Below are 15,560 nucleotides of genomic sequence, written 5' to 3'. Positions count from 1 at the left end.
TCAAGTGATCTGCCTGCCTCAGCCTCCCAAAGTGCTAGAATTACAGGTGTGAGTTTTGCACCTGCCCGAGACTCCATCTCTTAAAAAAATATATTGTGGGCTGGGCCTGGTGGCTTACACCTGTAATCCCAGCACTTTGGGAGGCCGAGGCGGGAGGATCACGAGGTCAGGAGATCGAAACCATCCTGGCTAACACAGTGAAACCCCGTGTCTACTAAAAATACAAAAAAATCAGCCAGGCGTGGTAGCGGGCGCCTGTAGTCTCAGCTACTCGGGAGGCTGAGGCAGGAGAATGGCATGAACCTGGGAGGCGGAGCTTGCAGTGAGCCGAGATCGTGCCACTGCACTCCAGCCTGGGTGACAGAGCGAGACTCTGTCTCAAAAAAAAAAAAAAAAAAAAATATATATATATATATATATACACACACACACACACACACACATATATATACACATATATATACAGATATATACACATATATACACATATATATACACATATATATACACATATATATACACATATATATACATAGAGTGGATAGTTTTATTTTTCACAAGATTTACATTTTCAAGACATTAAAATTTTCAACTTTATTCAAATAAGTTTGATTGAAGTTTTTATTTCTTATAATTTGTATTTTGCCTTTTGTTTTACTAATTTTCAATATCCTAGAAAAGTAACTTTTAAAACACACTTAATTTTTAAATTCCCTACATTTATTTATTTATTTATATTTTTATGCAAATACATTCAAAGTATACAGTGTGTCTACAATTACTTTTTTTTTTTTTTTTAGAGATGGAATCCTGCTATGCTGTCCAGGCTGGCCTCGAACTCCTATGCTCAAGCAATCTTCACGAGTCACTGGGACTGTTACAGGTAGAAGGTATCTGAGATACCAGTGGCAAATCCATATGCAGCAATCTCAATTCTTCCCTCCTCAGAGAGAAGAATTTGACTGAGGGGCATAAGGCAGAAAAGAGACCAAGGCAAGTTTCAGACCAGGAGTGGAAGTTTATTAAAAATCTTTAGAGGCCAGACACGGTGACTCATGCCTGTAATCCCAGCACTTTGGGAGGCTGAGTCGGGTGGATCACCTGAGGTCAGGAATTTGAGGACCAGTCTGGCCAACATGGTGAAACCCTGTCTCTACTAAAAATACAGGTGTGGTGGCGGGCGCCTGTAATCCCAGCTACTTGGGAGGCTGAGGCAGGAGAATTGCTTGAACCTGGGAGGCAGAGGTTGTAGTGGGCTGAAGGTTGTAGTGAGCTGAGATCACACCACAGCACTCCAGCTGGGTGACAAAGCGAGAATCTGTCTCAAAAAAAAAAAAAAAAAAGGCCGGGTATGGTGGCTGAAGCCTGTAATCCCAGCACTTTGGGAGGCCAAGGCGGGCAGATCACTTGAGGTCAGGACTTTGAGACCAGCCTGGACAACATAGTGAAACCTTGTCTCTACTAAAAATACAAAAATTAGTCGGGCGTAGTGGCGGGCACCTGTAATTCCAGCTACTCAGGAGGCTGAGGCAGGAGAATCGCTTGAACCCAGGAGGCGGAGGTTGCAGTGAGCCGAGATTGCACCACTGCACTCCAGCCTGGGCAACAGAGCAGGACTCTGTCACAAAACAAAACAAAACAAAACAAATGTACAGTGGAATTTTCCAGAGGCTGTACTAGCAAATCGAATGCAGAAGCAGATGAGAGTCCATCTGTTTTCTATTAAGCCAAACATTGAAGAGATTTGTAAAAATGTAAAACAATGTCAGTCTTCTGCCAATTTTTTTTTTTACGTTTACTGGCTTATTATAAAGGATACAACAAAGGATATAGATGAAGAGATGCGTAGGGCGAGGTATGAAGAGGCACAGAGCTTCCATGCCCTCTCTGCGTGTGCCACTCTCCACAGCCTCCGTGTGTTGAGCTATCTGACAGCTCACTGAACCCTGTCTTCTTGGGTTTTTTTTTTTTTTTTGAGACAGAGTCTCGCTCTGCTGCCCAGGCTGGAGTGCAGTGGCACGATCTTGGCTCACTACAACCCCTGCCTCCTGGGTGCAAGCGATTTCCAGCTAATTTTTGTATTTTTAGTAGAGACGAGGTTTCACCATGTTGGCCAGGCTGGTCTCAAACTCCTGACCTCAAGTGATCTTCCTGCCTTGGCTTCCCAAAGTGCTAGGATTACAGGCATGATCTACCGTGCCTGGCCCCGCTTGGATTTTTATGGAAGCTTCATGACATCAGCATTCCTTCCCCCAGGGTATAGGGTGGGACCAACTTATGGTAGGTCTTAAGATCCATGACCAGAAAGTCAGGGGAACTTAAGAGAGAGAAGAAGGGCAGGAGAAGGTCAGAGGCCTGCCCCTGAGGCCTAACATACCCAACATTATAACAAAAGACTGTAACAAGGGCTATGGGAGTTATGAACCAGGAACCGTGGACAAAAACCAATAATATCATAACATGATTGGCCACTTCCTGGTTTTTGATTATGGATCCTTTACATCAAAAATATATATTATGCACAATCATTTATAATTAATCCAGTCCATCATAGTGTAAGGAATGTCTCCCAGGATGAGGTCACTCAGGTTTGCAGGTTTCCTCTCAATCTTGTCAGGTTGCCCGAAAGCAGGAGTAGCCTTGGTAAATATACAGCTTTACCGTTTCAGGCATCTGGGATAATTGAGCTAAGGGACCATGTCATCTCTTGCTCTGAGACTCTTTTGAATTGTTAACATAATATTGAATTTTCCTCAATTAATAATCCATTTATTTATTTCTTTACTCTTAGCTACTATTTCTCCTTCTCTCCATTAATACTCAAACGTTTTCACCTTTGGAAGGGACATTAGACTTGCCACCACGCTGGCCTAGATTGTAGGTAGCAATACAAGTCTAACAAGTAGCTCCTCCTCATTCCACTCCCATTCAGATAGGGTAAGGTTACATAGGTGCAAAATGAGCTATTTTTACCTCTAGGCAATATAGCTGCCTTCACTGTTAGCCTCAATGTTGCTCGTTGGGGTGAAGGCACAAATCACCACTGTCATGCCTTTAGGAATTTTGACATAAGGCTTAAAAACGTATAGTTTTTTGCTTAGAAATCATCCCTGCTGTTCCAGCACTTGCAGTTGCAACCCTGTGGTTGGTCTTAGGACCAGTGCATCAGAAGGGGAGGAAAAATAGTTGTTGATTTTTTCCCCTGGGGTGATTTGGGGAAGAAAGAAAATATTATAGTCCTTATACTAGCATATTCCTCCCTTGGCAAGAACTGCATAGTCATAGCAGCATCCTTCCCACTCTCACTTCCTCAGATCAACCAGAGAAACAGAAAAAATCTAGCAGGGACACTCTAGTCCTATTCATGTTAAGTGTGAGTACACACTCATGAAGGCAAGGCATGTAAACCAGCTCTGTATGCTTTTATCACCCCTTGTTTTAGACAACCAATGCTTCAATTGCCTGTTCTATTTCTACATCAAACTATTACTCTAAGGAGGATATCTCTCTGCCCATTGTTGGATGTTATGAGCTGTGCAGTGAGTGTGTTCCTTGGTCTCAAAAATTATGGTCAGCCACCCAAGTCCATGCTATATATATATATATATATATATATGTATTTTTTTTTTTTGAGACGGAGTCTCGCTCTGTCACCCAGGCTGGAGTGCAGTGGCACGATCTTGGCTCACTGCAACCTCTGCCTCCTGGGTTCAAGCGATTCTCCTGCCTCAGCCTCAGGAGTAACTGGGATTACAGGCACGTGCCACCACGCCTGGCTAATTTTTTTATTTTTAGTAGAGACGGGGTTTCACCATGTTGGTCAGACTGGTCTCGAACTCCTGACCTCATGATTTGCCCGCCTCAGCCTCCCAAAGTGCTGAGATTACAGGTGTGAGCCACTGCCCCTGGCTTCTGTTTCTTTTTTTTTAATGGCACTCAGAGCATTTTCATTTTCCACTGGATAAGCAAAGCCCACTCCAGAGTCAGTGTCTATTCCTGTCCAAGACCCATTTGTAGCCCCCTAGGGCTATTAACATCAGTCTCACTTGCCAGCTGTGATCAGGGCCTTCCCACCAGGAAATCTGCCCCATAGCCATGAGCAGTCTCTGTCTCTCTTGCTGAGAAACAGAACAGTTCTTTCTGGCATTTTGTGCCTCAGAGGGTGCAAAAGGAACATGTCTACATTCAGCCCGGCCGGGCGCAGTGGCTCACGCCTGTAATCCCAGCACTTTGGGAGCCTGAGACAGGTGGATCATGAGGTCGGGAGATCGAGACCATCCTGGCTAACACGGTGAAACCCTGTCTCTACTAAAAATCCAAAAAAAAAAAAAAAAAAAAAAATTAGCCGGCCGTGGTGGTGGGCGCCTGTAGTCCCAGCTACTCGGGAGGCTGAGGCAGGAGAATGGCATGAACCCGGGAGGTGGAGCTTGCAGTGAGCCGAGATCACACCACTGCACTCCAGCCTGGGTGACAGAGCGAGACTGTCTCAAAAACAACAACAACAAAAACAAACAAACAAACAAACAAAATACATTCAGCCCATCTCTGTAGTGCTATAATACCCCCATATCCACTCATTTCATGGAGCCAGGTGGCCACCTCAAGGGAGCACATGGGGATATCTGCTTGTCAATTCCAGTCACCTTCCAAACCTGAAAGGGAGTTCTGATGGGTATTGACATGTTCTACTTTTAACGCGCCTCTCAAATCTCCATAGGACTTGCTCCATATGGGCATTCTTTTAATAGGCCAGGTTTCCATGGCTCTCTTGCCTGAGTGTGTGGTCAGGTACATTGGTCACTGCCCATGAGTCAGTAAAAACCCAAATACAGGGGCTTGTACAAGGTGTTCAACTCTTCCATCAGTGTTAGAAAAACAGCATGCAATTCAGCCCACTGAGCAGACCTGGTTTTACCTTCTTGGATCAAAGTATCAGCCTTCCAAACAAGATGGTATCCATTTTCCCAGGAATTGCTATTCACGAACCAAGCAGCTCTTGGTTAGTCAGCTGAGAGCTGTTTATTGGGCACTGCAGAATCCAACAGTTTCTCACACAGTTCCAGAGTCAGTCCTAGGGGAAAAGAAACTCCCTATTCAAGAGTGTCTCTTTCTTGCGTTCCTTAGGTAGCATGATCCTCTATAAACCATTTCCATTTTATTATGGAGCTCTTTTGGGCACTGCCACCCACATTAGAATGTTTCTCTGACATCACCCAAGACAGCATGGGTATTTCAAGTGTCATAGGCAGAGTTTCAGCTAAGGTTTCACAGCAAGGCACTAAATGCCCCTCAAGTGGAAATTCTCTAGTCTAAAGACCCAGTAGTTTTTTCTGGGAGGTGCTCAGAGGCTTCCACCGTAAGCCCCAGGAAGTACTTCACAGAGGGTTATGCAGTGGAGAATTTGTCTCTACCAGAATTCCAGCTTATACTCTGCACTAGGTAGGCTCGAGCAATCTTACTGGTTCCTATTTAGTCTTAAAGAGATGCAATCACTTCACATGAAGTATGTTCAAATATACCAACTTCATAATCCCTTCAACCTTTACATTTTGATATTCTAGTTTCAAGAACCTCTTTTCTCCACCCCCAGATAACTTTACTCTCTCTTCTGCAGAAGGTTTTGGGTCCCTAGCCAAGGACTGAGTCAAAGGACTCTGGCCCTTTTGTCAATCTTTTTATTTTATTATTTATTTTAAGACAAGGTCTCATTGTGTCTCCTAGGCTGGAGTGCAGTGAGGCTATTATGGCTCAATGCAGCCTCTACTACCCTGGCTCAGGTGATCCTCCCAACACAGCCTCCTAAGTAGCTGGAACAGCAGGTGGATGCCACCACATGCAACTAATTTTTTTTTTTTTGTATTTTTTGTAGACACAGGGTTTCACCATGTTGCCCAGTCTGGCCTCGAACTCCTGGGCTCAAGTGATCCTCCCGCGTTGGTCTCCCAAAGTGCTGGAATTACGGGCATGAGCCACAGTGCCCTGGCTTCAGTCTTTAAAAAAATTTTTGGTGGCCAGTCGCGGTGGCTTACATCTGTAATCCTAGCATTTTGGGAGGCCGAATCACAAGGTCAAGAGATCCAGACCATTCTGGTCAACATGGTGAAACCCCGTCTCTACTAAAAAATACAAAAATTAGCTGGGCATGGTGGCACGCGCCTGTAGTCCCAGCTACTCGGGAGGCTGAAGCAGGAGAATCACTTGAACCCAGGAGGCAGAGGTTGCAGTGAGCTAAGATCGCGCCACTGCACTCCAGCCTGGCGACAGAGTGAGACTCCATCTCGCCAAACAAACAAAAACAAACAAACAACAACAACAATAACAACAACAACGTTTCTGCTGGGTGCAGTGGCTCACGCCTGTAATCCCAGCACTTTGGGAGGCTGAGGCCGGCGGATCACCTGAGGTTGGGAGTTCGAGACCAGCCTGACCAACATGGAGAAACCCATCTCTACTAAAAATACAAAAATTAAACAGGTGTCATGGCGGGCACCTGTAATCCCAGCTACTCAGGAGGCTGAGGCAGGAGAATCACTTGAACCCGGGAGGCAGAGGTTGCAGTGAGCCGAGACCGTGCCATTGCACTCCAGCCTGGGCAACAAGAGCCTAACTCTGTCTCAAAAATAAATAAATAAATAAATAAAAATAAAAACCAGGGGCAAAGACCAAATATATATTTCTTATTGTATCATATATGTTAACATAAGTAATATATTTTTATTAAAAAAAGCTTTAATTTCCAAAACAAAAAAAACTGGGGAGCCACATAAACTATGGGGACATGTTCAAACCACAGCAATGGGATATCTCTATACTTTCCTCTCAATTTTGCCATAAGCTTAAAACTGTATCTATAGATTTAAACTACATAAACAAAATCCCTTTAGGGTCCTACTTTTTTTTTTTAAAGACTTTATTTTTCTAGAGCAATTTTAGGTTCACAGCAAAATAGAGAGAAAGATGCACGGATTTCCCATATACACCCTGCTCACCCACACACATATCTTCCTCCATTATCTCATCCCCCACCAGAGCGGTACATTTGTTAGAACTGATGAACCTACATTGACACATCATTATGAAAGTCCACAGTTTACATTAGGGTTCTTTCTTGATGTTGTACACCCTGTTGGTTAGGATAAATGTATAATTACATGTATCCATCATTTTAGTGTCATACAGACTATTTCACTGCACTAAAACTCCTCTGTGCTCCATCTGGACATCTCTTTCTCCTTCCTAATCCTATGTACCACTGATCTTTTTTTTTTTTTTTTGAGATCAGAGTCTCACTCTGTGCAATCTTGGCTCACTGCAACCTCCAGGTTCAAGCGATTATCCTGTCTCACCTGTAGCTGGGGCTACAGGTGTGTGCCACCATGCCCAGCTAATTTTTTATATTTTTAGTAGAGACAGGGTTTCGCCATATTGGCCAGGATGGTCTTGATCTCTTGACCTCATGATCTGCCCACCTCGGCCTCCCAAAGTGCTGGGATTACAGGTGTGAGCCACTGCGCCTGGCCACCACTGATCTTTTTACTGTCTCTATATTTTTGCCTTTTCCAGAATGTCATATAGTTGGAATCATGAAGTACAGAGTCTTTCAGATCGACTTCTTCTTCCTTCTTCTTCTTCTTTTTTTTTTTTTTTGAGACGGAGTTTCACTCTTGTTGCCCAGGCTGGAGTGCAATGGCGTGATCTTGGCTCACCGCAACCTCCACCTCTGGGGTTCAAGCAGTTCTCCTGCCTCAGCCTCCCGAGTAGCTGGGATTACAGGCGCCCGCCACCACGCCCAGCTAATTTTTGTATTTTTAGTAGAGACAGGGTCTTGCCATGTTGGCCAGGCTGGTCTTGAACTCCTGACTTCGGGTGATCCACCCGCCTTGGCCTCCCAAAGTGCTGGGATTACAAGATGTGAGCCACCGTGCCTGGCCTAGATCGACTTCTTTCACTTAGTAATATGCATTTAACTTTCCTCCATGTCTTTCCATTGTCTGAATGTACCACAGTTTATCATTCACCTACTGAGAAACATCTTGGTTTCTTCCAAGTTTTGGCAATTGGCCGGGAGTGGCTCATGCCTGTAATCCCAGCAGTTTGGGAGGCCGAGGCGGGCCGATCACCTGAGGTCAGAGGTCAGGAGTTTGAGACCAGTCTGACCAACATGGAGAAACCCTGTCTCTACCAAAAATACAAAATTATCCAGGAGAGGTGGCACATGCCTGTAATCCCAGCTACTCGGGAGGCTGAGGCTGGAGAATTGCTTGAACCTGGGAGGGGGAGGTGGCGGTGAGCAGAGATTGCGCCATTGCACTCCAGCCTGGGCAACAAGAGTGAAACTCCATCTCAAAAAAAAAAAAAAAAAAACCAAAAAAAACCAGAAAACAAGTTTTGGCAATTATGAATAAAGTTGCTATAAACATCTGTATGCAGATTTCTGTGTAGACATGTTTTCAACTGCTTTAGGTAAACACCAAGGAGCATGACTGATAATGGATTGCAAAGTAAGATTATGTTTACTCTTGTAAGAAGCTGCTAAACTGTCTTCCAAAGTGGCTGTATCATTCCTTGTCAATTTAACTGGATAGTTAAAAACAAAAACAAAAACAAACCAAAACTGGCTATATCATTTTGCATTCCTATCAGTAATGAATGAGAATTCCTGTTGGTCCATATCCTCACCAGCTTTTGGTATCGTCATTGTTCTGAATTTTGGTGATTTTAATAGGTGTATAGTGGTATCTCATTGTTGTTTTAATTTGCTTTTCCCTAATGACATATGATGTGGAATATCTTTTCATATGTCTATTTTCCATTTGTTCTCAAACTCCTGACCTTAAGTGATCTGCCCACCTTGGCCTCCCAAAGTGCTGTTGGGATTACAGGCATGAGCCACTACACCCGGCCCCTATTTTCTGTCTATATATCTTCTTTGCTTTCTTTATTTTGTTTCATGGGTTTTTTTCTTTTTTGATGGAGTCTCTCTCCGTCACCCAGGCTGGAGGGCAGTGACGCAATCTTGGCTCACTGCAACATCTGCCCCCCTGGTTCAAGGAATTATCATGCCTCAGCCTCCCTAGTACTTGGGGTTATAGGTGCACACCACCACGACTGGCTAATTTTTGTATTTTTAGTAGAGATGGGGTTTCACCATGTTGGCCAGGCTGGTCTCGAACTTCTGACCTCAAGTGATCCACCTGCCTTGGCCTCCCAAAGTGCTGGGATTACAGGTGTGAGCCACCATGCCCAGCTCCCTGTATATTTTCTTTTTTTTTCTGTTTTCTTTTTTTTTTTTTTTTTTGAGATGGGAGTCTCACTCTGTTGCCCAGGCTGGAGTGCAGTGGCGCGATCTCAGCTCACTGCAACCTCTGCCTCCTGGGTTCATGACATTCTCCTGCCTCAGCCTCCTGAGTTGCTGGGACTACAGGCACACACCACCACACCCAGCTAATTTTTAAAATATTTTTAGTAGAGATGGGGTTTCACTGTGTTAGCCAGAATGGTCTCGATCTCCTGACCTTGTGATCTGCCCGCCTCGGCCTCCCAAAGTGCTGGGATTACAGGTGTGAGCCACTGCACCCGGCCCCTGTATATTTTCTTTAGTGAGGTGTCTTTCCAGGTCTTTAGCTCAATTTTTAAATCAGATTTTTTAAAAAATTGTTGCATTTTAAGTTATTTGCATTTTTTTATTTTTTATTTTTAGTAGAGACAGGGTTTCACTATGTTGGCCAGGCTGGTATTGAACTCCTGGCCTCAAGTGATTCACCTGCTTTGGCCTCCTAAAGCGCTGGAATTACAGGTGTGAGCCACCGCACCCGGCCAAAGAGTTCTTTGTATATTTTAGATAACATTCCTTTATCAGATATGTCTTTTGCAAATATTTTCTCCCAGGCTGACTTGTCATTTCATTCTATTGTGGGCCCTCATTTTTATTTTTGTCTTATTTTTTGAGATGGAGCCTTGCTCTGTGGCCCAGGCTGGAGTGCAGTGGCATGATCTCGGCTCACCACAACATCTGCCTCCTGGGTTCAAGCAATTCTCCTGCCTCAGTCTCCTGAGTAGTTGGGATTACGGGCACCCGCCACCATGGTCAGCTAATTTTTTTGTATTTTTAGTAGAGACAAGGTTTCACCATGTTGGCCAGATTGGTCTCAATCTCCCGATCTCACGTAATCCACCCACCTTAGCCTCCCAAAGTACTGGGATTACAGGTGTGAGCCACCGCGTCTGACCCTGTTATTTTGTTTTTGTTTTTGTTGTTATTTGTTATAGACAGGGTCCTGTTCTGTTGCCCAGGCAACAGTATGTATGCAGTGTTATGATCATAGCTTATGGCAGCCTCAAACTGCTGGGCTCAAGCAATCCTTCTCCCTCACTCTCCTGAGTAGCTGGGACTACAGATGTACATCACCATGGCTGGCTAATTTTTAAAACTCTTTTGCAGAGACGGGTCTTGCTATCTTGCCCAGGCTGGTCTTGAACATCTGGCTCAAGCTATCCTCCTGCCTCAGCCTCTCAAAATGCTGGGATTACAGGTGTGAGCCACCACACACAGACTTCTGTGTTCTTTTATTTTTTTATGTTTTACTTTTTTTGAGACTGAGTTTCACTCTTTTTGCCTAAGCTGGAGTGCAATGGCATGATCTTGGCTCACTGCAACCTCTGCCTCCCAGGTTCAAGTGATTCTCCTGCCTTAGCCTCCCCAGTAGCTGGGATTACAGGCCTTCACCACCACACCCGGCTAATTTTTTTCTTGTATTTTTAGTAGAGACAGGGTTTCATCATATTGGCCAGGCTGGTCTTGAACTCCTGACCTCAAGCAATCTGCCCCCCTCAGCCTCCCAAAATGCTGGGATTACAGGCATGAGCCACTATGCCTGGCCTGAGACTAGGTAATTTATAAAGAGAAGAGGTAGCCGGGCGAGGTGGCTCATGCCTGTAATCCCAGCACTTTGGGAGGCCAAGGCAAGCGGATCATGAGGTCAGGAGTTCGAGACCAGCCTGACCAACATGGTGAAACCCTGTCTCTACTAAAATTACAAAAATTAGCCGGGCGTGTTGGCACACGCTGTAATCCCAGCTACTTGGGAGGCTGAGGCAAGAGAATTACTTGAACCCAGGAATTGAGATCGCCCGGGTGACAGAGCGAGACTCCATCTCAAAAAAAAAAAAAAATTAGTTGGGCATGGTGGCACACACCTGTGATCCCAGCCACTCAGGAGGCTGAGGCAGGAGAATAGCTTGAACTCAGGAGGTGGAGGTTGCAGTGAGCTGAGATCGCACCACTGCACTCCAGCCTGGCGACAGAGCAAGACTCTGTCTCAAAAAAAAAGAAAAGAGGTTTAATTGGCTCAGGTTCTGCAGGCTGTGGCTGGGAGGCCTCAGGAAATTTTCAATCATGAAGGTAAAGGGGAAGTAGGCATATCTTCACATGGCGAGAGCAGGATACAAAGAGAGAAGGGGGAAATACTACACACTTCTAAACAACTGGATTTCATGAGAACTCACTCACTATCATGAGAGCAGCAAGGGGGAAAATCCACCGGCATAATCCAACTACCTCCCGCCAGGCCCCTCCTCCAACACTGGGAGGGATTACAATTTGACATGAGATTTGGGCAGGGAAACAAATCCAAACCATATCAATTATATTAGATGTACAGCTTAAAGAAGAAAAAGATCACGTGGGTTCCTTTGGAACCCCTGAGTCCCAGGAGTCTTAAAGTCCACTTATGTTTATTTAGAAATTAATTAACCAAATAAGAAATGGGCAGGGGCTAAAGGAGACATCTTCAAAACTTTCCATTAAAAACCAGGAGAATAAATGGAAAGACACATCATGTTCTTGGATTACAAATTGGAACATTATTTAAAATGTCCTCTCCCTCCAAATCACATTTTGGGTGAAATGTAATTCCAATAAAAACGTGCACACTCGGTCAGGCATGGTGCTCACGCCTGTAATCCCAGCTACTTGGGAGGCTGAGGCAGGAGAATCGCTTGAACTTGGGAGGTGGAGGTTGCAGTGAGTCAAGGTGGCACCACTGTATTCCAGCCTCGGGGTGACAGAAGGAGACTCCGTCTCAAACAAAACAAAAGTGCACATTCTCTGAACCAGCAATGTATTATTTTAAATATCAGGAATCTCTAATATTAAGCCTAGTTTTACTTTTAAAGCTTAGTGCAGGGAGTCTCTCTAGACCTATTTAATTTCAGGGACTGCCTGTAAAAAAAAAATTTAAAAAAAAACTTAGTTCATTTCTTTTTCTCTAGCATTTAGATTACTGTATTGAAGACATTTTTGTATAGTCACCTCTCCTGAATGGTGAATAACTTATGAATAATGAAGCTGCCAAAACCAAGGAATTCCTGACATCCGTCCCCCTCCATTAACATTATTTCCTCCTGAACATGATGTTAACATCCAAATGTTCTCAAGGAGACTAGAAGACTAGAATGTGGCAACAAGAGTCACCAAGGCACTACCAAACTGAGGATATCCATAGTTGTAGTTGTGCTAGACTTTGTTTATGGTTGTGGACTCCAAACTAAATGGATGTTATTATCCATGTGGTTATTTGAGCAACTTCATTAGTGTTGTGTATTTTAAGGGAGATAAGCTATATTCTATAACAACTAGAGGGTCCACAGAGCCCAGAACTTAGTGTAATATTCTGTTCTGTGGAAATGATTAGAACATTTCAAGATGTGGACAACTGGGCACTTAGAGCTTTCGAAGGAAGAAACTAATGTGAAGCATGGATAATTTTAATAAATAGATAAATCAGAGGAAAAATGACAAATTACAGTTTTGATTCAAACCTATTATGAGAATAATGGCAGATTTGAGACCTCCGACTTAAAAAAAATCCTGTAGTATAATTTGCACATAGAGTAAGGGCACAAATCGTAAATGTATATTTCAATGCATTTTCATAAATTGAACATACCTGTGTAACTATTATCAGATCAAGAAAGATAACAACACCTCTACACCAGAAATCTTCCTCCTGTCTCTTTCCAGTTGCTACATTGTACACCCTTCCCCACACACACCAAGGATAACAATTATCCTCTTTTCTCTCCTTTTCCTAACCACTGGACTACCAGAAATACCCTCTTTTCTTTTCTTTTTTTTTTTTGAGACAGAGTCTCGCTCTGTCGCCCAGGCTGGAGTGCAGTGGCGCGATCTCAGCTCACTGTAAGCTCCGCCTCCTGGGTTCACGCCATTCTCCTGCCTCAGCCTCCCGAGTAGCTGGGACTACAGGCGCCTGCCACCACACCTGGCTAATTTTTTTGTATTTTTAGTAGAGACGGGGTTTCACCGTGTTAGCCAGGATGGTTTCGATCTCCTGAACTCGTGATCCGCCCGCCTCGGCCTCCCAAAGTGCTGGGATTACAGGCGTGAGTCACCACAGCTGGCCAGAAATATCCTCTTTTCTAACAAAATAGATACTTTACTTGTTTTTGACCTTTATATAAGTGGAATCATACAATATTAATTATTTTGTCTCTGGCTTCATCATTCTATTGTATAATTTATCCATATTGTTGTGTGTAGCTGTGGTTCTTTCATTCTTATTGTAGAGTAGTATTACACTGTATGATTATACCACAATTTATTCATTCATTTTACTGTAGGATATTTAAATAGAATCCAGTTGTTTCTACTAGTTATATCCTAAGATTGGAACTGCTGAGTCATAGGGTATGTACTTGTTCAGCTGAAAAGGACAGAAAATACCAAGAGTTAGCAAGGAGTTGGAACAAATCCAAATCCTTGCCAACTCTTGGTATTTTCTGTCGTTTTCATTTTTGCCATTTTGATGGGTATGTAGTGATATTTCATTGTGTTTGTAATGTACACTTCTTTGATGACTAAAGACTCTTGAGTAGCCTTAAAAATGTTTATTGGGGGGCCAGGCACCATGCTTCAAGCCTGTAATCCCAGCACTTTGGGAGGCCGAGGAGGGTGGATCACCTGAGGTCGAGAGTTCGAGACCAGCCTGACCAACATGGAGAAACCCCGTCTCTACTAAAAATACAAAATTAGCCAGGCATGGTGGCAGATGCCTGTAATCCCAGCTACTTAGGAGGCTGAGGCAGGGGAATTTCTTGAACCCAGGAGGCTGAGATTGCGGTGAGCTGAGATCACGCCATTGCACTCCAGTCTGGGTGACAAGAGCAAAACTCCATCTCAAAATAAAAAAAAAAAAAGTTTATTTCCTGCCCCAGCCTCCCAGGTAGCTTGGATTACAGGCACCTGCCACCATGCCCAGCTAATTTTTTGTATTTTTAGTAGAGATGGGGTTTCACCATGTTGGTCAGGCTGGTCTCGGTCTCCCGACCTCAGGTGATCCACCTGCCTCAGCCTCCCAAACTGCTGGGATTACAGGCGTGAGCCACTGTGCCTGGCCTGGATAGTCTTTTATAAAACGCCTATTCATGCTATTTGCCCATTTTATGATTTTTATTTTATTTTATTTTATTTTATTCTTTCTTTGCAATCTCAAAAGCTCACAGGGCTTTTCTTTTCTTTTCTTTTCTTTTTCTCGATATGGGGTCTTGCTCTGTTGACCAGGCTGGAGTGCAGTGGCACGATCTTGGCGCACTGCAATCTCTGCCTTTAGGGTTCAAGTGATTCTCCTGCCTCAGCCTCCCAAGTAGCTGGGATTACAGGTGCCCACTATCATGTCTGGCTAATTTTTGTATTTTTAGTAGAGACAAAGTGTGACCATGTTGGCCAGGCTAGTCTTGAACTCCTGACCTCAGGTGATCCACCCACCTCGGCCTCCCAAAGTGCTGGGATTATAGGCGTGAGCTGCTGCCCCCAGCCAAAAAATTTATGTATTAAAATGTCTTCTTTCACTCTGCGGCTTCAAAAAAAAAATTTTTTTTTTTTTTTTTGAGAGAGTCTAACTCTGTTGCCCAGGCTAGAGTGCAGTAGTGTGCAATCATAGCTTATTGCAACCTTGAACTCCTGGTCTCAAGCTATCCTCCCACCTCAGTCTCCCAAGTAGCTGAGACTACAGGCACATGTCACATGCTAACTTTATTTTTAGTAGAGACAGGGTCTCACTATGTTGCCCAGGCTGTTCTTGTACTCCTGGGCTTAAGTGCTGTCCTGCCTCAGACTCTCAAAGTGCTGAGATTTCAGATGAGAGCCACTGCACTTGGCTTGTAATTGTTTAATAGCCCCAATTTATACCATTCCCCCCCTTTATGATTGGTATTTTTTGTGTCCTATTTTTAAAAATATTTGCCTAAGATCAGGAAACTATTCTCTTGTTTTCTTCTAGAGGTTTTATTGTTTTACTGATGACTTTAAAAATGTCTGAGTTAGAGTTGTAAAAATCAACATCTATCCAAATTAAACAGTGATTTTTAAAGAACCAGTCACAGAGTATTGTGATCTCAAATCTGAAGTAGTTGAACGAGCAGCTCTCTGCAGCAGGAACACTAGGAAATGCAGTTACACAACTCCCACTCTACTTTTCAGCAAAGTGTCCCTTACTAAGTAGGCCATGTTGCAAGCCAGTCAGAAATTGGTTTGATTGCCAAGG

At 43.8% G+C, this 15,560-nt stretch overlaps 2 annotated features.

The window, feature by feature from the left end:
* Positions 9,524–9,689: a silencer, noted in NCBI's record as "fragment chr15:50676534-50676699 (GRCh37/hg19 assembly coordinates)". NCBI's record gives its function as "represses an EF-1alpha promoter that drives an FKBP-Casp9 reporter gene in an ReSE screen in K562 erythroleukemia cells {active_cell/tissue: K562}" and the evidence as "EXISTENCE:reporter gene assay evidence [ECO:0000049][PMID:32094911]".
* Positions 11,938–12,113: a silencer, noted in NCBI's record as "fragment chr15:50674110-50674285 (GRCh37/hg19 assembly coordinates)". NCBI's record gives its function as "represses an EF-1alpha promoter that drives an FKBP-Casp9 reporter gene in an ReSE screen in K562 erythroleukemia cells {active_cell/tissue: K562}" and the evidence as "EXISTENCE:reporter gene assay evidence [ECO:0000049][PMID:32094911]".

The sequence above is a fragment of the Homo sapiens genome, chromosome 15 (genome assembly GCF_000001405.40).
Source record: "Homo sapiens chromosome 15, GRCh38.p14 Primary Assembly".
Classification (NCBI taxonomy): Eukaryota; Metazoa; Chordata; class Mammalia; order Primates; family Hominidae; genus Homo; species Homo sapiens.
Note: the sequence above shows the minus strand (reverse complement) of the source record. Positions and strands in the feature narration are given on the sequence as shown.